We start from the raw sequence: 25,515 nt of genomic DNA on the forward strand, positions 1-25,515 counted from the left end.
ATGTCAGGCCAGGTGTGGTGGCTCACACCTATAGTCCCAGCACTTTGGGAGGCCGAGGCCAGTGGATCACCTGAGGTCAGGAGTTCGAGACCAGTCCGGCCAACATGGTAAAACCCCCTCTCTACTAAAAATATAAAAATTAGCTGGGCGTGGTGGTGTGCACCTGCAATCCCAGCTACCCAGGAGGCTGAGGCAGGAGAACTGCTTGAACCCAGGAGGCTGAGGTTTGCAGTGAGCCAAGATTGTGCCACTGCTCTCCAGCCTGGGTGACAGAGCAAGACTCTGTCTCAAAAAAAAAAAAAGAAAAATATAAGTACCCTTACCCTCCATGGAAAGACAAAAGGCAACGTTTATACTATTAAATTATTATTCATTAGCGCAGAAAGAAATTGAGCTTATTAACCAAATAATTTTGTCCTGTCCTTTTCTTGATTCTATTTTCAGCAATTTTATTTATTAATTATTATTATTATTTTTGAGACAGAGTCTCACTCTGTCCCCCAGGCTGGAGTGCAGCAGCATGATCTCAGCTCACTGCAACCTCTGCCTCCTGGGTTCAAGCAATTCTCATGCCTCAGCCTCCCAAATAGCTGGGGTTACAGGCACCTGACACCATGTCCAGCTCATTTTCGTATTTTTAGTAGAGATGGAGCTTTGCCATGTTGAACAGGCTGGTCTTGAACTCCTGACCTCAAATTATCCACCCACTTCAGCCTCCCAAAGTGCTGGGATTATAGGAATGAGCCAGCATGCCCAGCCCTTGTTTTAATTTTTAACTTAATTTTTTTTTTTTTTTTTTTTTTGAGAAACGGTCTTGCTCTGCCACCCAGGCTGGAGTGCGGCACTGTGGTCATAGCTCATTGCGATCCTCCCAAGCTCAAGTGATCCTCCTACATCTGCCTCCCAAACAGCTGGGACTACAGACATGTGCCACCATGCCTGGTTAATTTTCAAGTTTTTATAGTAACAGGGTCTTGCCATATTGCCCAGACTGTTCTTGAACTTCTGGACTGAAGCAATCTTCCCACCTCAACCTCCTAAAGTTTTAGGATTACAAGAGTGAGCCACCTTGCCTGGCCTCAGCAATGTTTACTGTAATTTTCCCAAGCTTTCGTGGTAAGCAGCTGAAGAGAGGGATGACTAGGTATGGAAAAACACAGCCCCCTCTGGTCCTATAAACCTATCCCAAGTATCCCAAGTAGGGCCGGCCCTCAAACCTATACCACAGACACTCAGAATAACAAATGGACCACCATGGGAACCCCAAGCCCTGCAGCCACCCAACAATGCCCCTGAGAAAATAACTGGCTCCCTTTTTCATGACCAATTTCAACTAGCACAGAGGAGTCAGCTGCTGTCTTTGTAAACTGGGTGTAGGTCCTATTGTTGGATGCAGAGGCAGTCTAGAAAAGACTTTGAGCACAAGAAAATTGGTAGCAACAGCTCCAGGTGAGGTCACAGTTTGGAGGCAGACATCCTGTGGCAAGTTCATGCCCTATCTTGGGTACAGTGCATTCCAGAGCCTTCCTGCAGCAGTAGCAGCAGCCTAGAATGTGATACTGAGACCTAGGTAGGTCCCTGGCCCAACCTCTTCATTGAACAAAGAGAAATTCAAGGTTTTGTTCCTGGAAGGACCTGCCAAAAAAAAAAAAAAGAGACAGAGAAAAAGAAAGAAAAGAAAAAAATGCAAGCTGCAAAATTGCTAAAGCTACAATAATTGTAAAAAAATTTTTATTTTGCTATAGACCAGGTCTCACCAGAGACTGGAGACCCTAGGTGGGTCTCTGTCTCCTGGTCTCAAACCTCTTACGTGAGCCTCCCAAAGTGCTGGGATTATAGGCATGAGCCATCATGCCTAGGTGAAAACAAATTTTTTGAATGTTTTCAATGTGCAAATAATCGATTATGTGCTTCTGAAGTGACAGAAGGAAATGGAAGGTCTACAGATGCATAACCAGAAAAAGACATGCTGCTTGTTGACAATAGTGTTGCCAGCAGTATCAGTACTTAAAACATTTTTATATTTTATTTATTTATTTTGATTGACAAATAGTAAGTGTACATATTCATGGTGTATATGTTTTGATACATATAATGTATAGTGATCAGATCAGGGTAATTACCATATCCATCATCTCAAACATTTATTCCTTCTTTGTTCTAGGAAGATTTGATATCCTCCTTCTAGACAGTTGAGACTACATAATACATATATCTAACATATATATATGCAAACACATTCACACACACATTTATATGTATATATGTATGTGTATATGTGTGTGTGTGTGTGTGTGTGTGTGTGTGTTTTTGAGACAGGGTCTCATTCTGTCTCCCAGGCTGGAGTGCAGTGGCACACTCTCGGCTCACTGCAAACTCTACCTCCTGGGTTTAACTGATCCTCCCATCTCAGCCTCCCAAGTAGCTGGGACTACAGGCTCGTGCCACCACGCCTGGCTTATTTTTCTATTTTTAGTAGACACGGGTTTTCACCATGTTGGCCAGGCTGGTCTGGAACTCCTGACCTCAAGTGATCCACCTACCTTGGCCTCTTAAAGTGCTGGGATTATGGGAGTGAGCCATGGAGCTTGGCCCATATATATATATATACACACACACACACACACGCGCACACACATATATACACATAAATACGCGCACGTGCGCACGCGCACACACACACACGCATATATATATATAAATTTTTTTTGAGACAGGGTCTCTGTCACCCAGGCTGGAGTGCAGTGGTGCCATCACAGCTCAATGCAGCCTCAACTTGCCAGACTCAAGGAATCCTCCCACCTCAGCTTCTCGAGTAGCTGATAATACAGACACAAGCCATCATGCCCAACTAATTTCGTATTTTTTGTAAAGACGGGGTTTCACCATATTCCCCAGACTGGTCGGAAACTCCTGGCCTCAAGTGATCCTCCTACCTTGGCCTCCCAAAATGTTGGGATTACAAGTGTAAGCCATTTCGCTGGCCTATAATATATCATTTTTAACTATAGTTATTCTGTAGTGCTATAGAACTCTAGAATGTATTCCTTCTATTTAGCTGTAACTTTCTTAGAGAAGGTGGCATGAAAATGATATCACCGTAATCCCCAAGAACCAACAAGGAATGAGGTTTCAAACAGAGTCGCAGGGGATCTCTAGAGGAAAAGTGTCAGGGGCAGAATTTACTAACTGTTGCTGTCCAAGAGTATAGTCTCTGCCCACCTGGTTCTCTGCCATCATGGAGAACCATTATATTTGCAGTAGTAATTATGGTTTTATCAGATGAGGAAATGGGTTTCCTTCAAGAGGCAGGTGTGAAATAATAGGTTGGCGCAAAAGTAATCACTGTTTTTCCCATTACTTTATTTTTATTTTTAAATTTTGTGTGTGTCTGTGTGTGTGTGTGTGAGATGGAGTCTCACTCTGTCACCTCGACTGGAGTGCAGTGGCTCGATCTCGACTCGCTGCAACCTCCCAGGTTCAAGCGATTCTCCTGCTTCAGCATCTGGAGTAGCTGGGATTACAGGTATGCACCACGACACCTGGCTGATTTTTGTATTTTTAATAGAGACAGGGTTTTTCTATGTTTGAACGTTACAGGTAACGTTTTACTCAAAGAATAATATTAATGATGAGTATTGAAGCAAGTCAATAAGCAAGATGACTTAAGAGTGAATTCATCATGCAACAGCTCATGCCTATAATCTCAGCACTTTGGGAGGCTGAGGTGGGAGGATCGCTTGAGCCTAGGAGTTTGTGAGACATGCCTGGGCAACATATAAAGACCCCATCTCTAAAAAAAAAAAGATTTAATTAGCTGGATGTGGTGGCACTTGCCTATAATCCCAGAGATTTGGGAAACTGAGATGGGAGGATCACTTGAGGCCAGGCGTTTGAGATCAGCCTGGGCAACATAGTGAGACCCCATCTCCATTTAAAAAGAAACGGAGAGTAAGATAACCATGGACACCCACTGTGTTCTGTAATATGTTAATGAGGTTTCCTTTAAATGTTTAGATCCCTATAATGTCAATGTGGGAAAGCAAAGAAGTGTGTGAAAACTCTTAACAAACTCTCCTGTATCCTATAAAACACTGGCCTTGTTATTTGGAATTCACTTGAGTCAGATCCTTTTTTATTTATTTATTATTTGGAAGAGATGGAGTCTTTTTCTGTCACCCAGGCTAAAGGGCAGTGGTGTGATCATGGCCCACTGCAGCCTCAAACTCCTAGGCTCAAGTGACTTTGCCACCTTGACCTCCCAAGTATGTTGAGATTACAGGTGCACGCCACCATGTCTCTGCCACGCTGGTGTGCAACAGCATGATTGTGGTTCACGGCAATGTCTGCTTCACAGGTTCAAGCAATTCTCCTGCCTCAGCCTCCCTAGTAGCTGGCATTACAGGTGCCTGCCACTATGCCTAGCTAATTTTTGTATTTTTAATAGAGATGGGATTTCACCATGTTGGCCAGGCAGGTCTGGAACTCCTGACCTCAGGTGATCCACCTACCTTGGCCTCCCAAAGTGCTGGGATTACAGGTGTGAGCCACTGCGCCCAGAAAAGAAGATGTTACACACACACACACACACACACACCACATGGAATACTAGGCAGCTGCAAAAAAAATGAAATATCTTTTGCAGCAACATGGATGGAAGTAGAGGCCATTATCTTAAGCAAAATTACTCAGAAACAGAAAATCTGCACTTGTACCTCCTCAATATATAAAAAGAAAAAATAAAAGATAAAAATAGAACAAAAATTTTATCTTAGCATATATAGAAATATATATATCATCTATGCAAAATATATATCATATATGATATATCCATACTTATGTACGCATGCATTAACGCAAATGTATTATATTTAACTCAGTATAGATATGTAATGGATATTATATATTATATATACATTATATATACACACATATACACACAAACACCGACGTACGGTACGCATGCTTAAAGAATGTTCAGCTCCCCTCACAGATGGTATGAATTTTTTTTTTTTTTTTTGAGTCCAGGTCTCATTCTGTTGCCCAGGCTGGAGGGCAGTGGCACAGTCACAGCTCATTGCAGCCTTGACCTCCTGGGCTCATGGCATGTTTGTGCCTTCGCCTCTGATTGTGCTGCGATTATAGGTGTGCACCACCACACCTGACTAGTTGTTAAATGATTTTTTTTTGGTAGAGATGGGGGCTGGGGGTGGGGGGGGTGGCGCTGGGGGGCTTCCGATGCTGCCCAGGCTGGTCTCGAATCCCCGCACCTCCCAAAGTGCTAAGATCACAGGTGTGAGTCACTGCGCTCGGCCAGATTGTACAATTTTGATTCCTCTCATATTTAACAACACCTGTACCTATCATGGTATTAAATTTATAGCTCATTCTGGTTTAGGGTCAGGGACTTATTTCTTTGGAATGGCAGAGTTCAGCATTTCCTGACCCCCCTGCAAAATAATGCCACTTCATTAAGGCGATAATGACTCTTCCATGTCTAACTCATAGGCACTTTCCTTTTTTGTCTCTCAAGTAATAGGCTGTGGTTTCTCAAGGATTTTTATGCTGTGGTTTCTGAAGGATTTTTGTGATCCTTTCAAAGCAGCTTTTGTCAAGCAAGGTGTTGTGAAATGTGCAGGGTCTGTTTATAAGAAGAGGTAGGTATGTGGTCAAGTTCAGGGTGGGTTCGGTGGAATCAGACCAACCAGCAGCCCAAGCAGAGTGTTAACGCTGCAAATCTGTGCCACGTTCTTCTTCCTGCGTGCAATTTGCAGGCAAAGACATATGCTTAATTGGGTGTGAAACCCGGGCCTTGATTAAAAGGACTTTATGAGGCCGCAGCCTTACATTTCCAAGGTCAGGCCCTAGTGGAGAGGGCGCGCGTTCCGCGGGGAGACACGAACTTTTCCTGAGTGCGCGTTCCTTGCTGGTCCTGAACCCCTCGGCCAGGCAGGGCTTGGCAGGGCCGTTTCCTGTCCTAACCAGGATCAAGGGATTGCGCGGCTTGCTGGTGAAGCTTGGCAGGGCCGTGACCTGTCCTAACCAGGCTCAGGGGATGGCGGGGGCCTGCTGGTGTCGCATATGTTTTGCATTCCAGCTCAGGATTTTGCAGCGCATAGAGAGCGGGCGTCACCACTAGGGGGATATGCTACCCACAAAATGCAGGTGGAGGCTGGGCGAGGCTAGCAGCCAGGGGCCAGAAATCCAAAGCCTGAGCCAGGTTCAGACTTCCTGACTCCCACTCCCGGTTAGCTGTGCAAGGATGGCTCGGCCTGGTCCCCCTAAAAATGTGTCCGTTCTAACTTAGAGGCCGCTTTGGCTCTCAGAAAGCCCCCCTGACCTGAGGACTGAGGGACTGGAGACCGCTTTCAGTCGCAGAATCGCTGAGATCCCTCAAAACAAAGGCGTTTCCAGTTTGACCCCTTGCTGCTCAATGTGTGGTTGGCCAACCGACAGCCTGGGGCGCCCTGGTTGCGGGTCAGGGGAGCAGCGTCTAGGCCGTGCCAGGCCCGCAAGTTAAGCACTGTCTGCATTTCCCTGGGGAAAGGGGTGACCAAATATCTAGCTATATTTGCATTTCAAATCCACACGGATAAGAGTTTTAAATATAAGTATGTCCAACTATTGCCTAAGCCACACTTACGCTAGGAAAAAAAAAATCTTTGCGTTTCTGAAATTGAAATGTGTCTGCACAGTTCTTTATCAGGTTGTCGCCGGGGTGTTTAAACAGTGACCAATCAAGTTTCACACGCTACATTTGGTCGGGCGACCTCTCAAATCTGTCTTTCCCTAGTTCTTTAAATAAATGTTTATTTGGAAAGAATTCTAGATCCACAGGAAGCTGCAAACAAACGCACAGAGTCAAGCCCACCCTTTCTCCCCCTTTCCAAGTAAAAATGTGGAATCACCAGTCCTACGACGAAACCAGGGCGCTGACCTTGTTCCCCAGACCCGGCAGCCCCTCTTGGGGATCCGCGCGCAGCGCGCGTCCTGAGTAGCCAGGCTAATTCCAGCCCCTCTCCTCACCAAACGCCAATTTCACTTTCTATTTTTGAGCTTCACTTTTGCTGAGCCACGCCCTCCCTGTCCCCGGGCCACCCAGCCTCCCCATCTTCCGGGTTTGGGTGCAGCAACGCGGGTGGCCCGCCAGTGCGACTCCGGGGAGAAGTCATCCTGGGTCCCACCCCGGGGGCGCCCCGGGCGCGGAGGGGGCGTGGGCACCTCCCCAGCGCCGCCCCTGCCCTTGGTGACTGGAGTCGCCTGCACGCCCGGGTCTCCGACTCCTCGGCTGGGTCGCCGCCCGGGCGGAGCCCACGCGAAGGCGACGCCCCCCAAAGCCCCGCGGCCGGGTGGGGGCGGGGAGAGGCGTAGTCACGCCCAGGCTGCTTCCGCCCGCCCCAACAGCGCGCACGCGGCCACCGAGCTGGAGGAGGCGGCGGGCGTGAGACCGGGAATGCTTGGGGCCCCCGCCTTCCTCGCAGCCATCCAGCACTCGGTGCACGCCCCGCGAGGCCAGCGGCTGCTCCCTCCCGGGGCTATTGCTGCTAGTGCCGTGAGCACCGCCCAGCCATTGTCTCTGTGTCTCCGTCAGCCGTGCCGAGCCGCGCACCCAGAGGCGAGGGCGCGCATGGGGAGCCTCCGTTGATGCTGCCGCGGCTGCCGCGCCGCCCTCCGAGGCTGCGTCCCGGGGAGTCCGGCTTCCCGAGCGCTCCGGCCTGGCCCGGCGCCCCGGACCTGAGTGCCTCCCCATGGAGGCGCCCGGGCCGGCCCAGGCGGCCGCGGCGGAGAGCAACTCCCGAGAGGTGACGGAGGATGCCGCCGACTGGGCGCCCGCGCTCTGCCCCAGCCCCGAGGCGCGGTCGCCGGAGGCGCCTGCCTACCGCCTGCAGGACTGCGACGCGCTGGTCACCATGGGTGAGTGAGTGCGCGCGGGAACTCGGCCCACAGGGGCTCGCGGCGCGGCCGGGACCCCGTAGTAGGACAAAGGGCCCCGGGTGCCCGCTTCCTGGGGAGGGCCCTGCAGCGGGATCCCCGCGCGGGGCTGCCCTTGCGCCCTGGGTCTCCCCGGGGGCCTCTCGGAGAACTGGAGCGCACCCTCCAGCCCCGGCGAGTCCCCCGGACTGGCTGGGGGCCTTCCCTGGAACGCCGAGGGCTCCTCTGGAAGACCACTCTGTATCCCCAGAACACACAGCACTCTGGGGCCTGGGCCGTCCGACGTCACAAAACTTCCTGTAGGACATCTCGCCTAGAGTACCTCGTGCGCTCTCCCAGGCAGCGGCCCCAGGGACACGGGCGCGGGGTCCCTCAGGCCAGCCTCCCCGTGTGCCCAGCGGCAGGGTCCTTGGCGGGGAATGTACAGATTTCTCCATGGGCTGCAGGAGCAGCTGGGCTCCGGGGGACAGTTGTTCGTGGCTTTGTGGGGATGAAGACGGCGGAGTTGGGGACGGATCCTAACATGTCCTGACACCGCCTGTGCTCTTCGTCTTGTGCGTCTGAAATGGGTAATTCTTGTATTGGACGCTTTATCCGTTTCCTTTGTCGTCTGTCTTTGAACTTAACCTCGAATGGGCAGCTTGACAGAGGTTTCGAGTTCACAGTGCGTTTGGATCCGGACACGCGCTGGTTTATGGGGGCAGCCCAGAGTGGGTCAGAATATCCCAGCGGCATGTGGGCGCTGGATTTAAACAGTTGTCACCGGCCCGCCTGTGCTTCTTAGGGACTCTGTATGGCTAAGTGGGGTGTTGGTTGTCAAGAAAATAAATGGGAGAGCGGAGGGGGGTGTCTTGGGTGTGTTGGTGGGGCGGGGGCTCTCAAACCCTCTTAACTCCTGTTTGTCCTCTCATTTTGGAAAGGAGGAAGCTGGGCTGGGAAGCCCAAGGGCTTAAGGTCACACCTTAGGGCTTAGGAAGACCAGCGGGCATAGCCAGAGGGCCTTCAGAACCGCTGAGGAAGAGAGGACTTAGCTTCCTTCAGTGACCTCTTTGCCACTTAGACCTTGAGGGAAGGGCCCACGAGGAAAGCCTGAGTTTGGAAGGACAGTGTGGGACGAGGCCCTCTTTGTTTCTGCGCTCCCTCCCTCCTCCTATCTCATTCTCTCTTTCTCTGTTTCTCTTTCTGTGACCCTGTTCGTGTATCTGCATTTCTTCTCCTCTGTCTCTCTCAGTCTTTCTGTCTGTTCCCTTACTGTCTTGGTCTCTCTGTCTCCCTGCCTTCTCTCTGCTTTCCCTCTTCTTCTGGTCCCCCATGGAAAGCTGTCCTGGTCTAATCTTAGAGCTGGGTGTGTTTTGCGGGGAAGAAGGGTGGGGCAGGAACCCTGACTGGTTCAGCCGCCACAGTAGGTGGAAATACAGCTCGGCAGTGGAAAATTGATGAGGTCCAGCCGTTCCTTGGCACTCAGCACCAGAGTTTGTCATTCTTTGGGGCACCCACATGGGTCCGTTGGGAAACGTGGAGCTGGGGCTGGAGGCCGGGGCAGAGAGCAGGATGCGGGCAGGAGGGCGGCAGAGGTGAGGAGCTCTCGTGTGACAGGGGGCCACTCAGTTTGACATCAAGTCAGCTTAGGGTACCAAGCGGGTAACCTCATTTTTAAAAATAGATTGTCGTTGTCTCTAGGGACCAAGCTGGCTGGGCAGGGAGGTCAGCTTTTTTTTTCAGTCCAGTCAGTGCTCTCTTAATGAGGATGATGCTGCTTTCTCAAGGATAACTTCCTGTGAGCTCCAACGATGTGACAGGAGAGCTAGGTATCCTACACTAATTGGGCAACAGGAGACCAGGACCCAGGGTGTGTGTGTGTGTGTGTGTGTGTGTGTGTCTGGAACACTCTCTCATGACAACTTCACAGCTTTGGTGACATTATCTGCAGCATTTTATCCAAGCCCCTTTCTTTGTTGTTGGTTAAAGAGCAATGTGACTGTGATTCACCTAAAAGTAGTAGAATAAATTCTAAAAAACCCAAGGGTTTTAGAGTCTTCACGATTGTCTCTCTGAGCCACAATTTACAGCAGCTTTGGACTCTTTTACAAGGCGTGATGGAGAAGAGTGAGGGGCGAGCTTGAGTCTCAGTCTGGAGTTGAAACCCAGTCTGTGTGGGTGTGACCCCTCTTCATCCTAAACTGTCACCGCTGGAACATAAGTTTGCCTTTAAGCGCTCTTTCCCCCTCCTTCCTAATTCTCTCAGGCCCCAAACAAGCATCCCCAGAAGTACTGAACTTTTTGGGGGGTGGGTGGAGGGGATCTGTATGCAGATTTCCAGTTGAGCAATCCTCTTTTCTATGACTTAAAGCCAATCACAGGCTGGACGTGGTGGCTCATGCTGGTAGTCCCAGCACTTTGGGATGCCGAGGCAGGCGGATCACTTGCGCTCAGGAGTTCGAGACCAGCCTGGTCAACGTGGCAAAACCCCATCTCTACTGAAAAAATACAAAAATTAGCCAGGCGTGGTGGCAGGCGCTTGTAATCCCAGCTTCTCAGGAGGCTGAGGCAGAGGAATTGCTTCCACCCAGGAGGCAGAGGTTGCAGTGAGCCAAGATCACACCATTGCACTGCAGCCTGGGCAATGGAGGAAAAAAAAAAAAGGAAACTGTCAGTGTTCTAGATAGACCAGTTTTCCTCAAGTTCAGGTAGTTAGGAAGAAAGAGTGCAGTTTGCAATTGTGAAAAATCTGATAATGGATTTTTTTTTCTTTTTTGTGCATGAAGGGATTCTGTAGTACGTCTGGTTTAAAGGCTGATTTAATAGTTTTAGGAACTTTGGATCAGAACAGCCATACGACTCCTCAGAGAAAAAATGGGTTTCAGTCTGGTTCTTTAAATTTCTTGTTTATATAACCAAGCCGTGCTTGTTCCTATGAGGGAGAACAATTGTGCTTTAAAAAAGGAAAATCTGGGCCAGGTACAGTGGGGCGTGCCTGTAGTCCCAGGTATTTGGGAAGTTGCAGTGGGAGGATGGCTTGACGCCAGGAGTTCTAGACTAGCCTAGGCAATACAGCGCGACCCTCATCTCTTAAAAAAAAATAGTAATAATAGGTAGTTGGGCATGTTGGCGCATACCTGTGCTGTTAGTTACCTGGGAAGCTGAGGCAAGAGGATCACTTGAGCCCAGGAGGTCAAGGCTGTAGTCAACCATAGTCATGCTACTCTACTCCAGCCTGGGTGATAGAGCGAGACCCTCTGTCTAAAAAATAAAATAAATAAAATAAAATAAAATAAAATAAAGTGAGACCTGTGTAAAAAATAAAATGAAATAAAATAAGATAAAATAAAATAATTTATGGAAGTGAAAAACTTAACACTACGTAGACAGAAGAGGATGTCTCTCTGTGCAGCAATCCACCAGCCTTATTTTACCAATCTTCCCACTTAAAATGACTGTTTGAGAATTGCTTTCTCTGTATATCAGATAAAAAATACTTAGGTTTGGCCAGGCACGGTGGTTCATGCCTGTAGTCTCAGCACTTTGGGAGGCTGAGGTGGGCAGATCACGAGGTCAGGAGATCGAGACCATCCTGGACAACAAGGTGAAATCCCGTCTCTACTAAAAATACAAAAATTAGTTGGGTATGGTGTCGTGAGCTTTTAATCCCAGCTACATGGGAGGCTGAGACAGGAAAATTCCTTCAACCAGGGAGTCTGAGGTTACAGTGAGCCAAAATCACACCACCGCATTCCAGCTTGGGCAACAGAGCAAGACTCCATCTCAAAAAAAAAAAAAAAAAGACCCCAAAAAACTTAGGTTTTATTCCAAAAGTGTCCTTATTGAATCATTTGGCATCTATAACCCAGTGCTTGTTTCTCATGGGTATCCCCCATGTTAGCCTGTCAGGAAGGAGGTAATTCAGCAGGTAAACCAGTGGCCAGGATTTGGGTCCACATTTCATCTTCCTTTTCTTAACCTAGTTCTACATTTACTCATCTGAAAAAAAGGGAAGTAATAACAGTACCTGTCCTACACGGTTACTATGAGGAAGACTCCAAAGTTCCTGGACCCGTACTAAAATATACGTATTTTGAAATACAGGCTCACAGGAGATTTCAAAAACAGTACCTGGAGTCTCACAGACCCTTCAGCCAGCTTCTCTTTGGTGACGTCTTCATATCCATGGGACAATATCAGAACCAAGTCATTGATGTTGGTATATCCCTATTAAAGAGAACACATACCTCATTCAGCTTGTTTTTTTTTTTTTTTTTTGAGACATGGTCTCACTCTGTTGCCCAGTCTGGAGTACAGTGGTGCGAGCTCGGCTCACCCCAGCCTTGAACTCCTGGGTGCAAGTGATCCTCCCACCTCAGCCTCCCAAGTAGCTGGAACTACAGGCATGCACCACCATACCCAGCTAATTTTTGTATGTTTTGTAGAGGTAGAGTCTTGTTATGTTGCTTAGGTCTTGATCTCCTGGTGCCTCAAGTGATCCTCCCACCTCGGCCTCCCAAAGTGCTGGGATTGTATACAGGCATGAGCCATCGTGCCTGGCTTGTTCAGCCTTTTACTAGTTTTCAAAAGGTGCTCATTTGTGTTTGCGAGTGTGTGTGTAGAGTTCTGTGCAGTTTTACCCAGTGTGTGGATTTGGCAGCTACCACCCTCCAAACCATGGTACAGGATGAATTCCCTCACCGCAGACCCCTCTGTCTTCCTCAACACATTTTTTTTTGTAACTTTCACATGATATACCATCTGAAAATATTTTATATTCTTAAGAGCTAGGAGATCTTCATAATTAATGATGCATGGTTCTGAAATCTAAAGCGCTTGTACTGGTAGTTTTTAATTCTGTCCTTGGTTTTTAGAAATAAGGCTTGGAGTTGCAAGGAAAATCGAGCCCTTAGAGAAAGGATTTCTCAGCAAAAAAAATGTATTTCTGCACAGAAGGGTGCCTCCTGTGTGGCTGGTTGCCCCAAGAGCACCCTGAACAAAGGAGAGTAGAAGTTTTTATTCCTAAGGCAACTCCTGCCCCTGTGTCCTTTCCCCATTGGCTGGGGTCAGACTGCACAATCTAAAATAGACCCGACTGGCTAAACATTTCAACGTTCTTTAATGATAAGGTGGACACATGATTGGAGAGAGGAGAGAGGAGGGAGGGGTCGTCTGTGGCGAACTAGAAAGCCAGTCTTTTCCCAAATAAAGGAAGGAGGGTGAGCTGGTGCTGATAATGCCACTGGTGCTGTGGCATGCCTGGGCATGTAGTAAAGTCAGAAAGAAGAAAAGGAGAAGAAAGAGATGCAGGGGTGGATACTGGGAATTAAAGAATAAAAGGTTGAGCAGGCTGTTTGAAGAGAAACCTTGCCATATCTCATATTGGTTCTCCTAAATTGGCCAGAATTTTCCTTTGCTCTCCTCGTTGCTGGGTCTTATTAATGCCTTAAGATAGTTCATTCAGGCTGTTGTAGCAAAATACCACCGACTGGGTGGCTTTTTTTTTTTTTTTTTGAGACAGAGTCTTGCTCTGTCACCCAGGCTGGAGTGTAGTCGTGCAATCTAGGCTCACTGCAAACTCCGCCTCCTGGGTTCACACTATTCTCCTGCCTCAGCCTCCAGAGTAGCAAACCACAGACATTTATTATTGTTCACAATTCTGGAGGCTGGAGGTCCAAGATGAAGGCATGGCAGATTTGGTGTCTGGTGGGGACCTGCTTCCTGGTTCATAGATGGTGCCTTCTCGCTGTGTCCTCACATGGTGGAAGGGGTGAGGGAGCCCTCTGGGGTCCCTTTATAAGGGCAGTGATCCCATTCATGAGGCTCCAACCTCACGACCTCATCACCTCCCTAGGGCCTCACCTCCTGACACCATTACCTTGCAGGTGAGGATTTCAACACAGGAATTTTAGGGGGACACAGACATTGAGTCCACGGCATCCCCACACAGCATGCTGCCGGGACGAATGGCATCTGAACTGGTGAGATTCTACTGTGTGCATAAATCAGCAGCCTTGTGGGCAGTGTTGACATAGCAATTAGGAGTGTTGTTTGTAGCCTAACAATACACAGAAAGTGGAGCTCAGCCCTTTGATCTTATTTATCTTGTGTGGGTGCTCCGTGTGAGACAGGCTCATGCATGTGTGAATGACAGTTTCCTTTAAGTGCATCATGCAAATGCCAAGAGATGAGATCAAATATTACACGTCAGAGAACATTTCCAAGGATAGAAGTCCTGCCGGTTTCTCCTCTTCATTGTTTATTTCATTTTATTTTTTTAATTTAAGTTAAATTAAAATACATGTTAAATTAAATTTAAGTTAAATTAAGATACATGTGCAGGACTTATTTTAAATAAAAGAGACAGGGTCTCGCTGTGTTGCCCAGGCTAGTCTTGAACCCCTGGGCTCAAGCATTCCGCCTGCCTCCGCTGCTGGCACATAAATGCCAAGAGTGCAGGGACCTCTGTGTGTTGGAGTCGCTTTCATCTCCCACATCCAAAGAACAGACCCGGCACTTAGTGTGTGCCCAAGACCATCCACTGCATGAATAGAGAAATCAACCCTCCTCATATGCCTGGGATTTCCTGAGGTGGGAAACCTTCAATGCTAGCTGGGAAAGTCCCAGGCAGAGACAGGGACAAGCTGGTCACTCTGTGTGTGAATAAATAAATGAATGGATGATGGCATTATCGGCAGTTGTTCTTTATGACACTCACTGATGCCAAGTACTGGACGGGTACAATATGTACATTAGTTTATGGGCAGAAGTTCCACCATGACAATATTAACATTATTTTCTTTTTTCTTTTTTTTTTTTTGAGACGGAGTCTTGCTCTGTCGCCCAGGCTGGAGTACATTGGTGCAATCTTGGCTCACTGCAAGCTCCGCCTCCCGGGTTCACGCTGTTCTCTTGCCTCAGCCTCCCGAGTAGCTGGGACTACAGGCGCCCACCACCATGCCCGGCTAATTTTTTGTATTTTTAGTAGAGACTGGGTTTTACCGTGTTAGCTGGGATGGTGTCGATCTCCTGACCTCATGATCCACCTGCCTTGGCCTACCAAAGTGCTGGGATTACAGGCGTGAGCCACCGCGCCCGGCTGCCTCTTTTTTTTTTTTTTTTTTTAAAGACAAGAGTTTCACTCTGTAGTGAAGGCTAGGGTGTAGTATTACAGCCATAGCTCACTGCAGCCTCCACTTCCCTGGGTCAAGTGATCCTCCCACTTCAGCCTCCCAAGTAGCTGGAACTACAGATGTGCACTGCCACACTCAACTAATTTATTTATTTATTTTTATAGAGTTGGGTATGGCTATGTTGCCCAAGCTGGTCTCGAACTCCTGTGCTCAAGTGATCCTCCCACCTCAGCCACGGAAGTAGCTGGGATTACAGGTGTGTCCACCGTGCTTGTAGTCTTCTTAATGGAAAGAGGGTCTGAGAGAAGGGATGCTATGTGGCAGTAGGTTTCGCCTGCAGCACGCTGCCTCCTCCCTGGGAATGTAGGGCATGCACACTGGATCAGACGACAAAAGCAATGTCATCTGCAGTTCATAGGCACGCTGCAAAGAAGGGAGATGTTAAACTCTCGAAAGCAGCAGACACTCCCCACCAGGAAGAGACATGGTTTGTGAAAATCAAAGGAGGGTGAAGGCATGACAATCGTGAGCCCAGGAGGTTGAGGCTGCAGTGGGCTGAGATCTTGGTACTGCACTGCAGTCTGGGTGACAGAGACCTTGTCTCAAAAAAATAAAAATTCATGGGAAGCCAGGTGTGGAGGCTCATGCCTGTAATCCCAGCACTTTAGGACGCTGAGGTGGGAGGATCTCTTGAGCCCAGGAGCTCAGTATCTGTCTGGGCAATATAGTAATACCCCATCTCAAAAAAAAAATTTTTTTTTTTTTGAGACAGTCTCACTTTGTCACCCAGGCTAGAGTGCAGTGCTGCAATCTCTGCTCACTGCAACCTCTGCCACCTAGGTTCAAGCGATTCTCCTGCCTCAGCCTCCCAAGTAGCTGGGATTACAGGCTCCTGCCACTGTGCCTGGCTAATTTTTGTAGTTTTTATAGAGATGTGGTTTCACCATTTTGGCCAGGCTGGTCTTGAACTCCTGGCCTTGTGATCCACCTGCCTTAACGTCCCAAACTGCTGGGATTATAGGCATGAGCCACCACGTCTGGCCAAAAAAAATTTTTTAAAGTAGCTGAGTGTGGTGGCATGGGCTTGTATGTAGTCCCAACTGCTAGGGAGGCTGAGGCAGGAGGATTACTTGAGCCCAGGAGGTGGAGACTGCAGGAGTCATGATGGTGCCACCGTGCTCCAGCCTGGGCAACAGAGTAAGAGCCTATGTCAAAAATAAAAGGAAGTATCAAGGGAGATGATTACACAGTGCCTGGCACACTGTAGGTCTCCAAAAAATAAACCTTTTCTATCCATCAGTTTCCTCTTCTCTCCAGCATGAAATTGCGTATGTAAAGTTGAAAAGAAAAAAGAGAGAGAGAATCTTTCAAAAAGGTGGTAATGTTGGTGGCATTGTGGTTGTTTAAAACAAACAAACAAACAAACAAAAAACCTTGGGGGAAATACAGAGAAAGCCCCAAGGCAGTCCTTCCAAAAAGCTGAAAGTGCTTTGCTTTGTCTGGAATTGTGACCGAGTTTTCCCTGTTAGAAAAGTCTGTGGTTAGAAGCTTCCTGTTAAGCCAGCTTCCTGGTAAGAAGGTGGAACCGTTGTTTCTTCTGTGTGACGGGTTCCCTCTGCCGTTTCTGTAGGTTGCCTCCCTGTGGTCGTTTACTGTGGTGGGTCCAGACTCAAAACCAGGTTTGGGGCCACCATCATCATATTTGTGTCCCCCACCCCAAGATTCTTATGTCGACACCCTAGTCCCCAAGATGATGATATTAGCAGGTAGGGCTTTTAGGAGGTGATGAGGTCATGAGGGTGGGTCCTCATGAATGGGATCAGTGTCTTTATAAAAGGGACCCCAGGGAGCTCCCTCGCCCCTTCCACTATATGAGGACACAGCAAGATAGCACTGTTAATTAGGAAGCTGGTCTCTGCCAGATGCTGAATCTTCCACACCTTCATCTTGGACTTCCAGCCTCCAGGACTGACAGCAGTAAATGTCTATTGTTTCTAAGCCTTGGTCTACTGTGTTTTGTGATGGCAGCCCAAATGGATTTAGATGGGGCTCTATTCACCCCATGCAGCAGGGTCCATGGAAAGGCAGCTGTGATGAGATGATCCATCATTACCTCTTTCATGCAGACTGAACATCTCTGCTTTTCTGTTCTGTTCTCTTCCACTTTTTCATGCTATATTTTCTCAGCATTATTCCTCTTGTTTCTGGCCTCTTTTGAAGTCTTCTTTTCCAGGGATCTGCATTTCCCCCATCCTCTTGAACAAGAAACTACTGGCCCTGGGTCTCCTTACCTTGCCTCCCACGTGTTGCTCATCTCCTTGGAGATGGAAACTGAAGAAGAGGAAGAAATTTTAACATGAAGAGGAACATAGAACACACAGATCCCGAGAGATGGAGAAAGCCAACCCAGTGGCTCAGGGAGACAGCTGGGAGGGGAAATGGGGAGGACTGCTGAATAGAATATCCAGTCTCCTTTGGGGGCGATAAACATATTTTGGAACTAGATTGAGATGACAGTTGTACAACACTGTGAATATGCTAAATGTCACTAGATGGTCAATTTTAAAATGATTCATTTTATGTTATAGTGAATTTCACCTTGATGGGAAAGAAGATAAAGAGGAAGCTGGTGGCTCGAGCCTGTAATCCCAGGACTGTGCAAGGAAAGAGACAGAGTTTGACGCTACTGGTGGCCAGGTCTTGCAGAGCATGGTGGCAGACTTTTTTTTTTTGTTATCGAGTCTAGCTCTGTCGCCCAGGCTGGAGTGTAGTGGCGTGATCTCAGCTCACTCCAACCTCCACCCCCCAGTTCAAGTGATTCTCCTACCTCAGTCTCCTGAGCAGCAGGGACTACAGATGCCTGCCACCACACCCGGCTAATTTTTGTCTTTTTGGTAGAGACGGGGTTTCACCATTGAGATCATGAGTGGTGGGATTCTTGGTCTTCTTGTTCTGTTTTGGAGATGGAAGCCACAGGAGCCCCTTCGAGAATGAATGTAGGGTGTAACTGTATTAGTTTGCTCTGACTGTCATAACAAAATACCACAGACTGAGTGACTTATTTAATAGAAATTAATTTTCCCACAGTCCTGGAGGCTGGAAGTCTGAGATCAAGGTGTGGGCAGGCCTGGTTCCTCCTAAGGCCTCTCTCTTGGGCTTGTAGATGCTATCTTCTCCCTGTGTCCTCACAGGGCCATCCCTCCATTCGCCTTTGTGTCCTTATCTCCTCTTTTTTAATTTTTATTTTTTTAGAGACAGGATTTTGCTCTGGCCCAGCCCAGAGTTCAGTGGTGCTATCATAGCTCACTGCAGCCTTGGCTTCCTGGGCCCAAAGCAACGCTCCCACCTCAGCCTCTTGAATAGCTGGGACCACAGGTGTGCACCACCATGCTCAGCTTTTGTATATATATTTTTCCTAGAGATGGAGTCTCCCAATGTTGCCTAGGCTGGTCTCAAATCCTGGCCTCAAGAAATCCTCCTGCCTCAGCCTCCCAAAGTGCTGCGATTACAGGTATGAACCACTGCACCCAGCTTCCTCTTCTTACTAGGATACCAGTCCTATTGGGTCAGGGTCCACCCTAATGACTTCATTCTACCTTAATTAACTCCTCAAGGACAGCATTTCCAAACAGTCACATGCTAAAGTCTGGGGATGAGGGCATTGATATATGATTTTTTGGGGCACATAATTCAGATCATTGCCCCTGTGAAAATTGTAATGCATCTAGGGATACATTGGAACTTCTCCTAAAGCAATATTGTAGTGTCACCCCAGTTAAAGCTGGCTTCTTAGAAGATCCCCCTTGTTGGTTGACTTCTGCAATCTCTCTCATGTTCCTTCACACTGTCTTAGTCTTGCATGGCTGCTGGAATGAAGGACCACAAATACAGTGGCTTAAACTCACATGCAATGAAGAGATACCTGCACTTTCAGGTTCACTGCAGCCTGAGTCACACAATAACCAAGATAGGTCAACAACCCCTGTGTCTGTCAGCGGATGAGTGGGTGAAGAAAATATGGTCTGTACACAATGGTGTACTATTCAGCCTGTAAAAACAATAAAGTCCTGTCATTTGCAACAATGTGGATGCAACTGGAGGTCATTATGCTCTGAGAAATAAGCCAGGCACAGAGAGACAAATACGGCATTATCTCACTCCTTTTTTTTTGGACAGGGTCTCACTTGGACACCCAGGCTGGAGTGCAGTGATGTGGTATCACTGCAGCATTGACGTCCCAGGCTCAAGGGATCCTCTCACCTCAGCCTCCTGAGTAGCTGGGACTGCAGGTGTGCATCACCACGCCAGGCTATTGTTTTGATTTTTTTTTGTAGAGATAGAGTCTTGTCATGTTGCCCAGGCTGGTCTTGAGCTCTTGTCCTCAAGTGATCCTCCCAGTTTAGCCTCCCAAAGTGCTGGGATTGCAGGCATGAGCCACCACGCTCTGCCTGACCTATGTACTTTAGAATTCCAGAAGCAAATCTCGTATCCTGCTGGAGGAGCAAGACGGAAACGCAGGTGCTAGAGGGCAGATTGTTTGCACAGAAACCTGGGCATGTGGATGAATTTGGTAATACTCACGTGTGTGCGGGTAAACTTGGCAGACCCCTTTTTTTCCAAGGTTCCCTTGTGCAAAAAGAATGAAACCAGTGCAACCAATACTTTTAAGAAGCCCCTCCTTTCTGGAGTGTTTTCACGTTGCATTTCTCGGGTGGGCATGTTTTCCTGGCATCTCCGATTCTGTGCTGTGTTGGGTAACACAGGATGATGGACATTTTGCTTCCCTATTAGGATCTTAAGTGAAAGTCCAGTTGGCATTTGCATTTGATCTGAGTAGGAGAAAACATGATAAATAGCCATTAGAGGCCAGGCCTGGGGGCTCACACCTGTAATCCCAGCACTTTGGTAGGCCGAGGTGGGCAGATCACCTGAGGTCAGGAGTTTGAAACCAGCCTGGCTAACATGACGAAACCCCGTTTGTACCCAAAAATACAAAAACTAGCTGGGCACGGTAGTGGGTGCCTGTCATCCCAGCTACTCAGGAGGCTGAGGCAGGAGAATCACTTGAACCCGGGAGATAGAGGTTGCAGTGAGCCGAGTCTGTGCCACTGCACTCCAACCTGGGGTGATAGAGTGAGACTCCATCTCAAAAAAAAAAAAAAAAAACAACCAAAAACACCCAAAAACACATTAGATGCATTTGAAGCCTCCCAGCAATTCTCCCATGATGGCAGAATAGGCATCCAGGAGACTCACCCTACCCTGTCTGAACACCTTTAGCGAAGATGTAAATGATCTGCAGAGGATACTCAGGTGCGAGGATGGAAATTCCTTCTCCCTCCAGCACTGATGGCTTCCACCTTCCTGTGGTCTAAGGAGACCACACAGAGGTTGTCAGTGTGGGAGGCTGTTGCCAGTATGGTGAGTTTCCTACGGAGGAATTTCCTGTGGGACACCTCTGGGCAGTTCTTCCCGCCTTTCATGTCTTCTGTCAGATGATAGAGTGGCCAGGTCAAGGGATTATCATGATTTTATTTGTTTTTTGTTTTTTAGAGACAAGGTGTTGCTCTGTCGCCCAGGCTGGAGTGCAGTAGGGGTGCAATCAATAGCTCAGCTGCAGCCTCAAACTACAGGGCTCAAGTGATCCTCCTGCCTCAGTCTCCCAGGTAGCTGGGACTACAGGGACACACCACAATGCACAGCTCATTCTCTCATAAGATGGAGAGAAGAGAAGAGAGGAGGACATAAAACTGTCCATATGACTAGTTTGGGCCTTTCCATCCTGCTTAATCCAGAACTGTCAAGGTTAGACCCTGGTCATTCTTTAATATGTTTGAAAAATACGGCTGGGCACGGTGGCTCACACGTGTAATCCCAGCACTTTGGAAGGCCAGGGTGAGAGGATCACTTGAGTCCAGACGTTTGAGACCAGCCTGGGCAACATAAGAAGACCCCACTGCTACAAAGGGGGAAAAAAATCAGCCATGCATGGGGACGCATGCCTGTGGTCCCAGCTATTCGGGGGGCTGAGACGGGAGGATTGCTTGAGCTCGGGAGGTAGAGGCTTCAGTGAGCTGCGATTGTGCTACTGCACTCTAGCTTGTGTGACAGAGTGAGACCCTGCCTCAATTAAAAAAAAAAAAAAGAAAAATAGACCTTCCTTCTATACAATGTCTTCCCTGCTGGCCTCCATGCCCTCGTACCTGTTTAAAAATCCACTGGAATTTTTCACCAGGACATAGAAAAAGGAAGTTGTCTCACGCAGTTCCTGTTAAATTGCACAAGTCCACACAGATCCTTGCAACCCACGCTACCATTTACTTAGCATGCGTTGTGTGTGGGCATTACATTATTCTCCGAGGTAGTTATTTTGGATGTTATACTGGGGAGGTACCCCATCAAAGAGATTTGGAGGGCAACCTGTGGAGGGTTCTTTTAAAATTGTTGACAACTAATTTGGTGGATGTTTTCACCTTGGTGAATCGTTCCCTTGGGAGTCATTTTGCAGAACAAAGGGGTTGCACACAGGTGTGGCCAGAGAAACCTTGGCACAGAAGAAAGAAGTGCTTTGTCATGCTTAGGGCACCTGGGATCTCTTTGGATGGGCAGGCAGAGGGGAACTCTGTGAAGCCTGCCTGCATTTATTTGGGTATGCATGCTTATGTTGGAGTCTTGGCAATAAGAGGACCAGAGTGGAGGGAACAGAACTGTTAACAGAAAGGGTCCAGATTCAGACACCAAGAGAGGGTTCTTGGATCTCGCGCAAGAAAAAATTCAGGGCAAATCCATAGAGTAAAGTGAAAGCAAGTTTACTGAGAAAGTAGAGGAATAAAAGAATGGCTCCTCCATAGGCAGAGCGGCCTCGAGGGCTGCTGGTTGCCCATTTTTATGGCTATTTCTTGATTATATGGTAAATGAAAGGTGAATTATTCATGCCTCCCCTTTTTAGACCAAATAGGGTAACTTCCTGATGTTGCCGTGGCATTTGTAAACTGTCATGGCGCTGGTGGGAGTATAGCTGTGAGGACAACCAGAGGTCACTCTTGTCGGCGTCTTGGTTTGGGTGGGATTTGGCCAGCTTCTTTACCGCAACCTGTTTTATCAGCAAGCTCTTTATGACCGGCATCTTGTGCTGAACTCCTATCTCATCCCGTGACTTAGAATGCCTTAACCATCTGGGCACACAGCCCAGCAGGCTTCAGCCTCATGTTAACCAACACCTCTTCAAGATGGAGTTGCTCTGGTTCAGATGCCACTGACAGAGCTAGCTTATAGTTGGGACAATGTCATAGGGAATTATTCTTAAAAGATTGCAAAATCCAGCTTGGATGAGATTCCAGAAATCAAAAGGGTGTTGAGAAAGCAACTTGTCTAGAATTTCCTCTTCATGGGCTGTTGATTCTGTTCGCAATCACACCTTAAGAAAAAAATAGGCCAGGCACGGTGGCTTGTGCCTGTAATCCCAGCACTTTGGGAGGCTGAGGCAGGAGTTAGAGACTAGCCTGGCCAACATGGTGAAACCCGTCTCTACTAAGAAAATACAAAAATCAGCCAGGCATGGTGGTGCGTGCCTGTAATCCCAGCTACTTGGGAGGCTGAGGTGAGAGAATTGCTTCAATCTGGGAGGCAGAGGTTGCAGTGAGCTGAGATTGTGCCACTGCACTCCAGTCTGGGTGGACAGAGCAACACTCCTTCTTAACAACAACAACAACAACAACAACAACAACAAAATAATAAAAATAGAAGAGAAAATAAGTGACACATAGTGGCTCATGCCTATAATCCCAGGGCTTTGGGAGGTCAAAGAAGGAGAATCATTTGAGGCTAGTGGTTCTAGAGTAGCCTATACAACATAGTGAGACCTTGTCTTTACAAAAATAGAAAAAAGTTAGCCATGTGTATGGTGGGTCTCATACCTATAGTCCTAGCAATTCAGGAGGCTGAGGCAGGAGGACCACTTAAACCTAGGAGTTGGAGGCTACAGTGAGCTATGATGGCGCCACTGCACTCCAGCCTTAGCAAAAGAGCACGATTCTGAAACGAAAGAAAAAAAGAAACGGACATAAAATATAAAAAGAAAGAAAACAGAAAAAAAAATATATTTATATAGAAAGAAATCTGTAATGATGCAAAACATTCCGTGGACACGAATAGAATAGTTGTTATGCGTGATTTTGTTTATTAAAGCTTTTTTTAGTTCATCCGTAAAGTTTAGTGTTTTCTTTTGAGAACAAATTCTGTCTTGTCAACTTCATTGATTTTCAGGCTGGGCGTGGTCTCTCGACACTTGTAATTCCAGCACTTTGGGAGGTCGAGGTGGGAGGAGGGCTTGAGACCAGGGGTTCGAGACTAGCCTTGGCAACATGGTGAAACCCTATCTTTACAAAAAAAAAATAAACAAATAACAATTAGCCGGGCATGGTGGCACATGGCTGCAGTCCCAGCAACCTGGGAGGCTGCTGTGGGAGGATCACTTGAGTCTGGGAGGTTGAGGCTGAAGTGAGCTATGATTGCGCCATTGCACTCCAGCCTTGGTGACAGAGTGAAACCATGAAAGAAAAGAAAGAAAAGCAAAAAAGAAAAGAGAAAGGAAGGAGAAAAAGAAAAAAGAAGAAAAAAGTAAAAGAAAATAATATATAGAAAAAGTCAGTAATGTCTCAAAATATTCCCTACACAGTTGAATAGAAATTGTTGTTGGATGTGATTTTATCTGTTAAGGCTTTTGTTTAGTTCATTGTTAAACAGTTCAGTATTTTATTTTGAGCACAGATTCCGGTTTATCAGTTGCACTAATCTTTGCAAAGAAACTACTTTGGGTTTCTTTAATGTTTCTGTGTTGACTTCCTGTTTTCAGTTTCATTGCAGTTTGCTCTGGTTTTTCTTTTGTTTTTCTCCACTCATTTTAGGTTTCTGGAATTTTCCTGAAGCATTGCATGCTGATACAGATTCTGAGCTGGTGCTTTGACTGTCACAAGCCAGAGGGTCCTAGAAGAAGTAGAATCATAACTGAGGAAAACTTAGGAAACCCCATCCGTTCTGCCTTTCAAAGGTCTTCAGGGCAGCGCCACGTTTCACCACCTGATTTTGGTGTTTCACAGTCTGATGTGTTCATAGCTTTTGACTATTAAACTGATTGAGCTCTGCGTTTTTTAAATTTCTGTTACCCTGCTGGTGCTGTTTGAGCTCCAGCTTCCTCCTCTGTGTAATCAGTATCCCTAGTTGCCTCTTTACCCAAAAAGCCACAGAAATAAGTGCAGAGAAAACAGGTTAGCTGCCACCTGCGACAGAAGCGTGTCCTTAAATGTGTCCCTGGTCTCCTGGCCACATCACTCCAGTCTCTGCCTCTGTCTCCAAATGGGGCCTTCTCTTCTGTGTCTCTGTCTCGTCTTCTGTGTCTTTATTTTATTTATTTATTTGAGATGGCGTTTCAATCTTTTGCCCAGGCTGGAGTACAGCGGTGTCATCTCGACTCACTGCACCATCCACCTCCTGGGTTCAAGTGATTCTCCTGCTTCATCCTCCTGAGTAGCTGGGATTATAGGCACCTGCCACCACCCCTGGCTTATTTTTTCCATTTTTAGTAGAGACAGGATTTCACCATGTTGCCCAGGCTGGTCTCAAACTCCTGTCCTCCAGGTGATCCACATGGCTCGACCTCGCAAAGTGCTGGGATTACAGGCATAAGCCACTGTGCCTGGCCATTTTTTATTCATTCTCTTTTGTCTCTTAGAAGGACACTCGTTGTTGGATTTGGGTCCCACCCTAAATCCAGGATGGCCTCATCTGGAGATTGTTTACTTAATAGAAACTACAATGACCCTATTTTCGAATAAGGCTCTATTCACAGGTACCAGGGGTTAGGATGTGGACATATTTTTGGGGGGCACCATTCAACCTAATCCACCCCTCAACCTCAGTACGTCCACTGCGTTCAACATGAACTGTGTCTCCTTCTTTCCCCAAACAGAACAACTTAAGAGATCCTGTGCACCTGTACACCTTGCGTAGGTCATCAGCACTCACTGCTTATATGCCTAAGTTCTAAGCTGTGATCATCTCCACCCTCCCTCTTGCAGCCCAGTTGAGCCCATTCTCTGCCCAAGCACCTTATAAACAGGCCATTAACCCTCCATCTCCATATGTTTCACGCCCTTATTTCATACATTATAGTATTTAATGTTCTTTTACTGATTTTTCGCAGGGTGGAAAATGTCAAGGAAAGGAACTGAGTTTGACAGTTTTAAATTCATACATTCTGCTGTCAACATTACTTTGAAACAATTATTTAATGCAGTGCATCGGTTTCATTTAACATAAACCTATGTAGATGAAATATTTTGATAGTCACATTTTAAAAGGTGAGAAAGTTATATAGTGAAATGCATCTCTGTTTTTGTGCCTCACCTGTGCAGAATTTGCCCTCTCCTCCCACCCAGGTGACCATATTAATGTGTCTTGTATATTTCTCCAA

At 47.4% G+C, this 25,515-nt stretch overlaps 1 pseudogene across 1 annotated transcript in view; it reads left to right on the forward strand.

The window, feature by feature from the left end:
- Positions 1 to 7,407: 7,407 nt before the first annotated feature.
- The window catches only part of PRKY (protein kinase Y-linked (pseudogene)), a 107,576-nt pseudogene continuing 89,468 nt past the window's right edge, over positions 7,408 to 25,515 (forward strand). Inside the window, exon 1 of the transcript NR_028062.1 lies at positions 7,408 to 7,914. The product of NR_028062.1 is annotated as a protein kinase Y-linked (pseudogene) (transcript). The remainder of the gene's footprint in view (positions 7,915 to 25,515) is intronic.

This window comes from Homo sapiens, chromosome Y (genome assembly GCF_000001405.40).
Source record: "Homo sapiens chromosome Y, GRCh38.p14 Primary Assembly".
Taxonomy (NCBI): domain Eukaryota; kingdom Metazoa; phylum Chordata; class Mammalia; order Primates; family Hominidae; genus Homo; species Homo sapiens.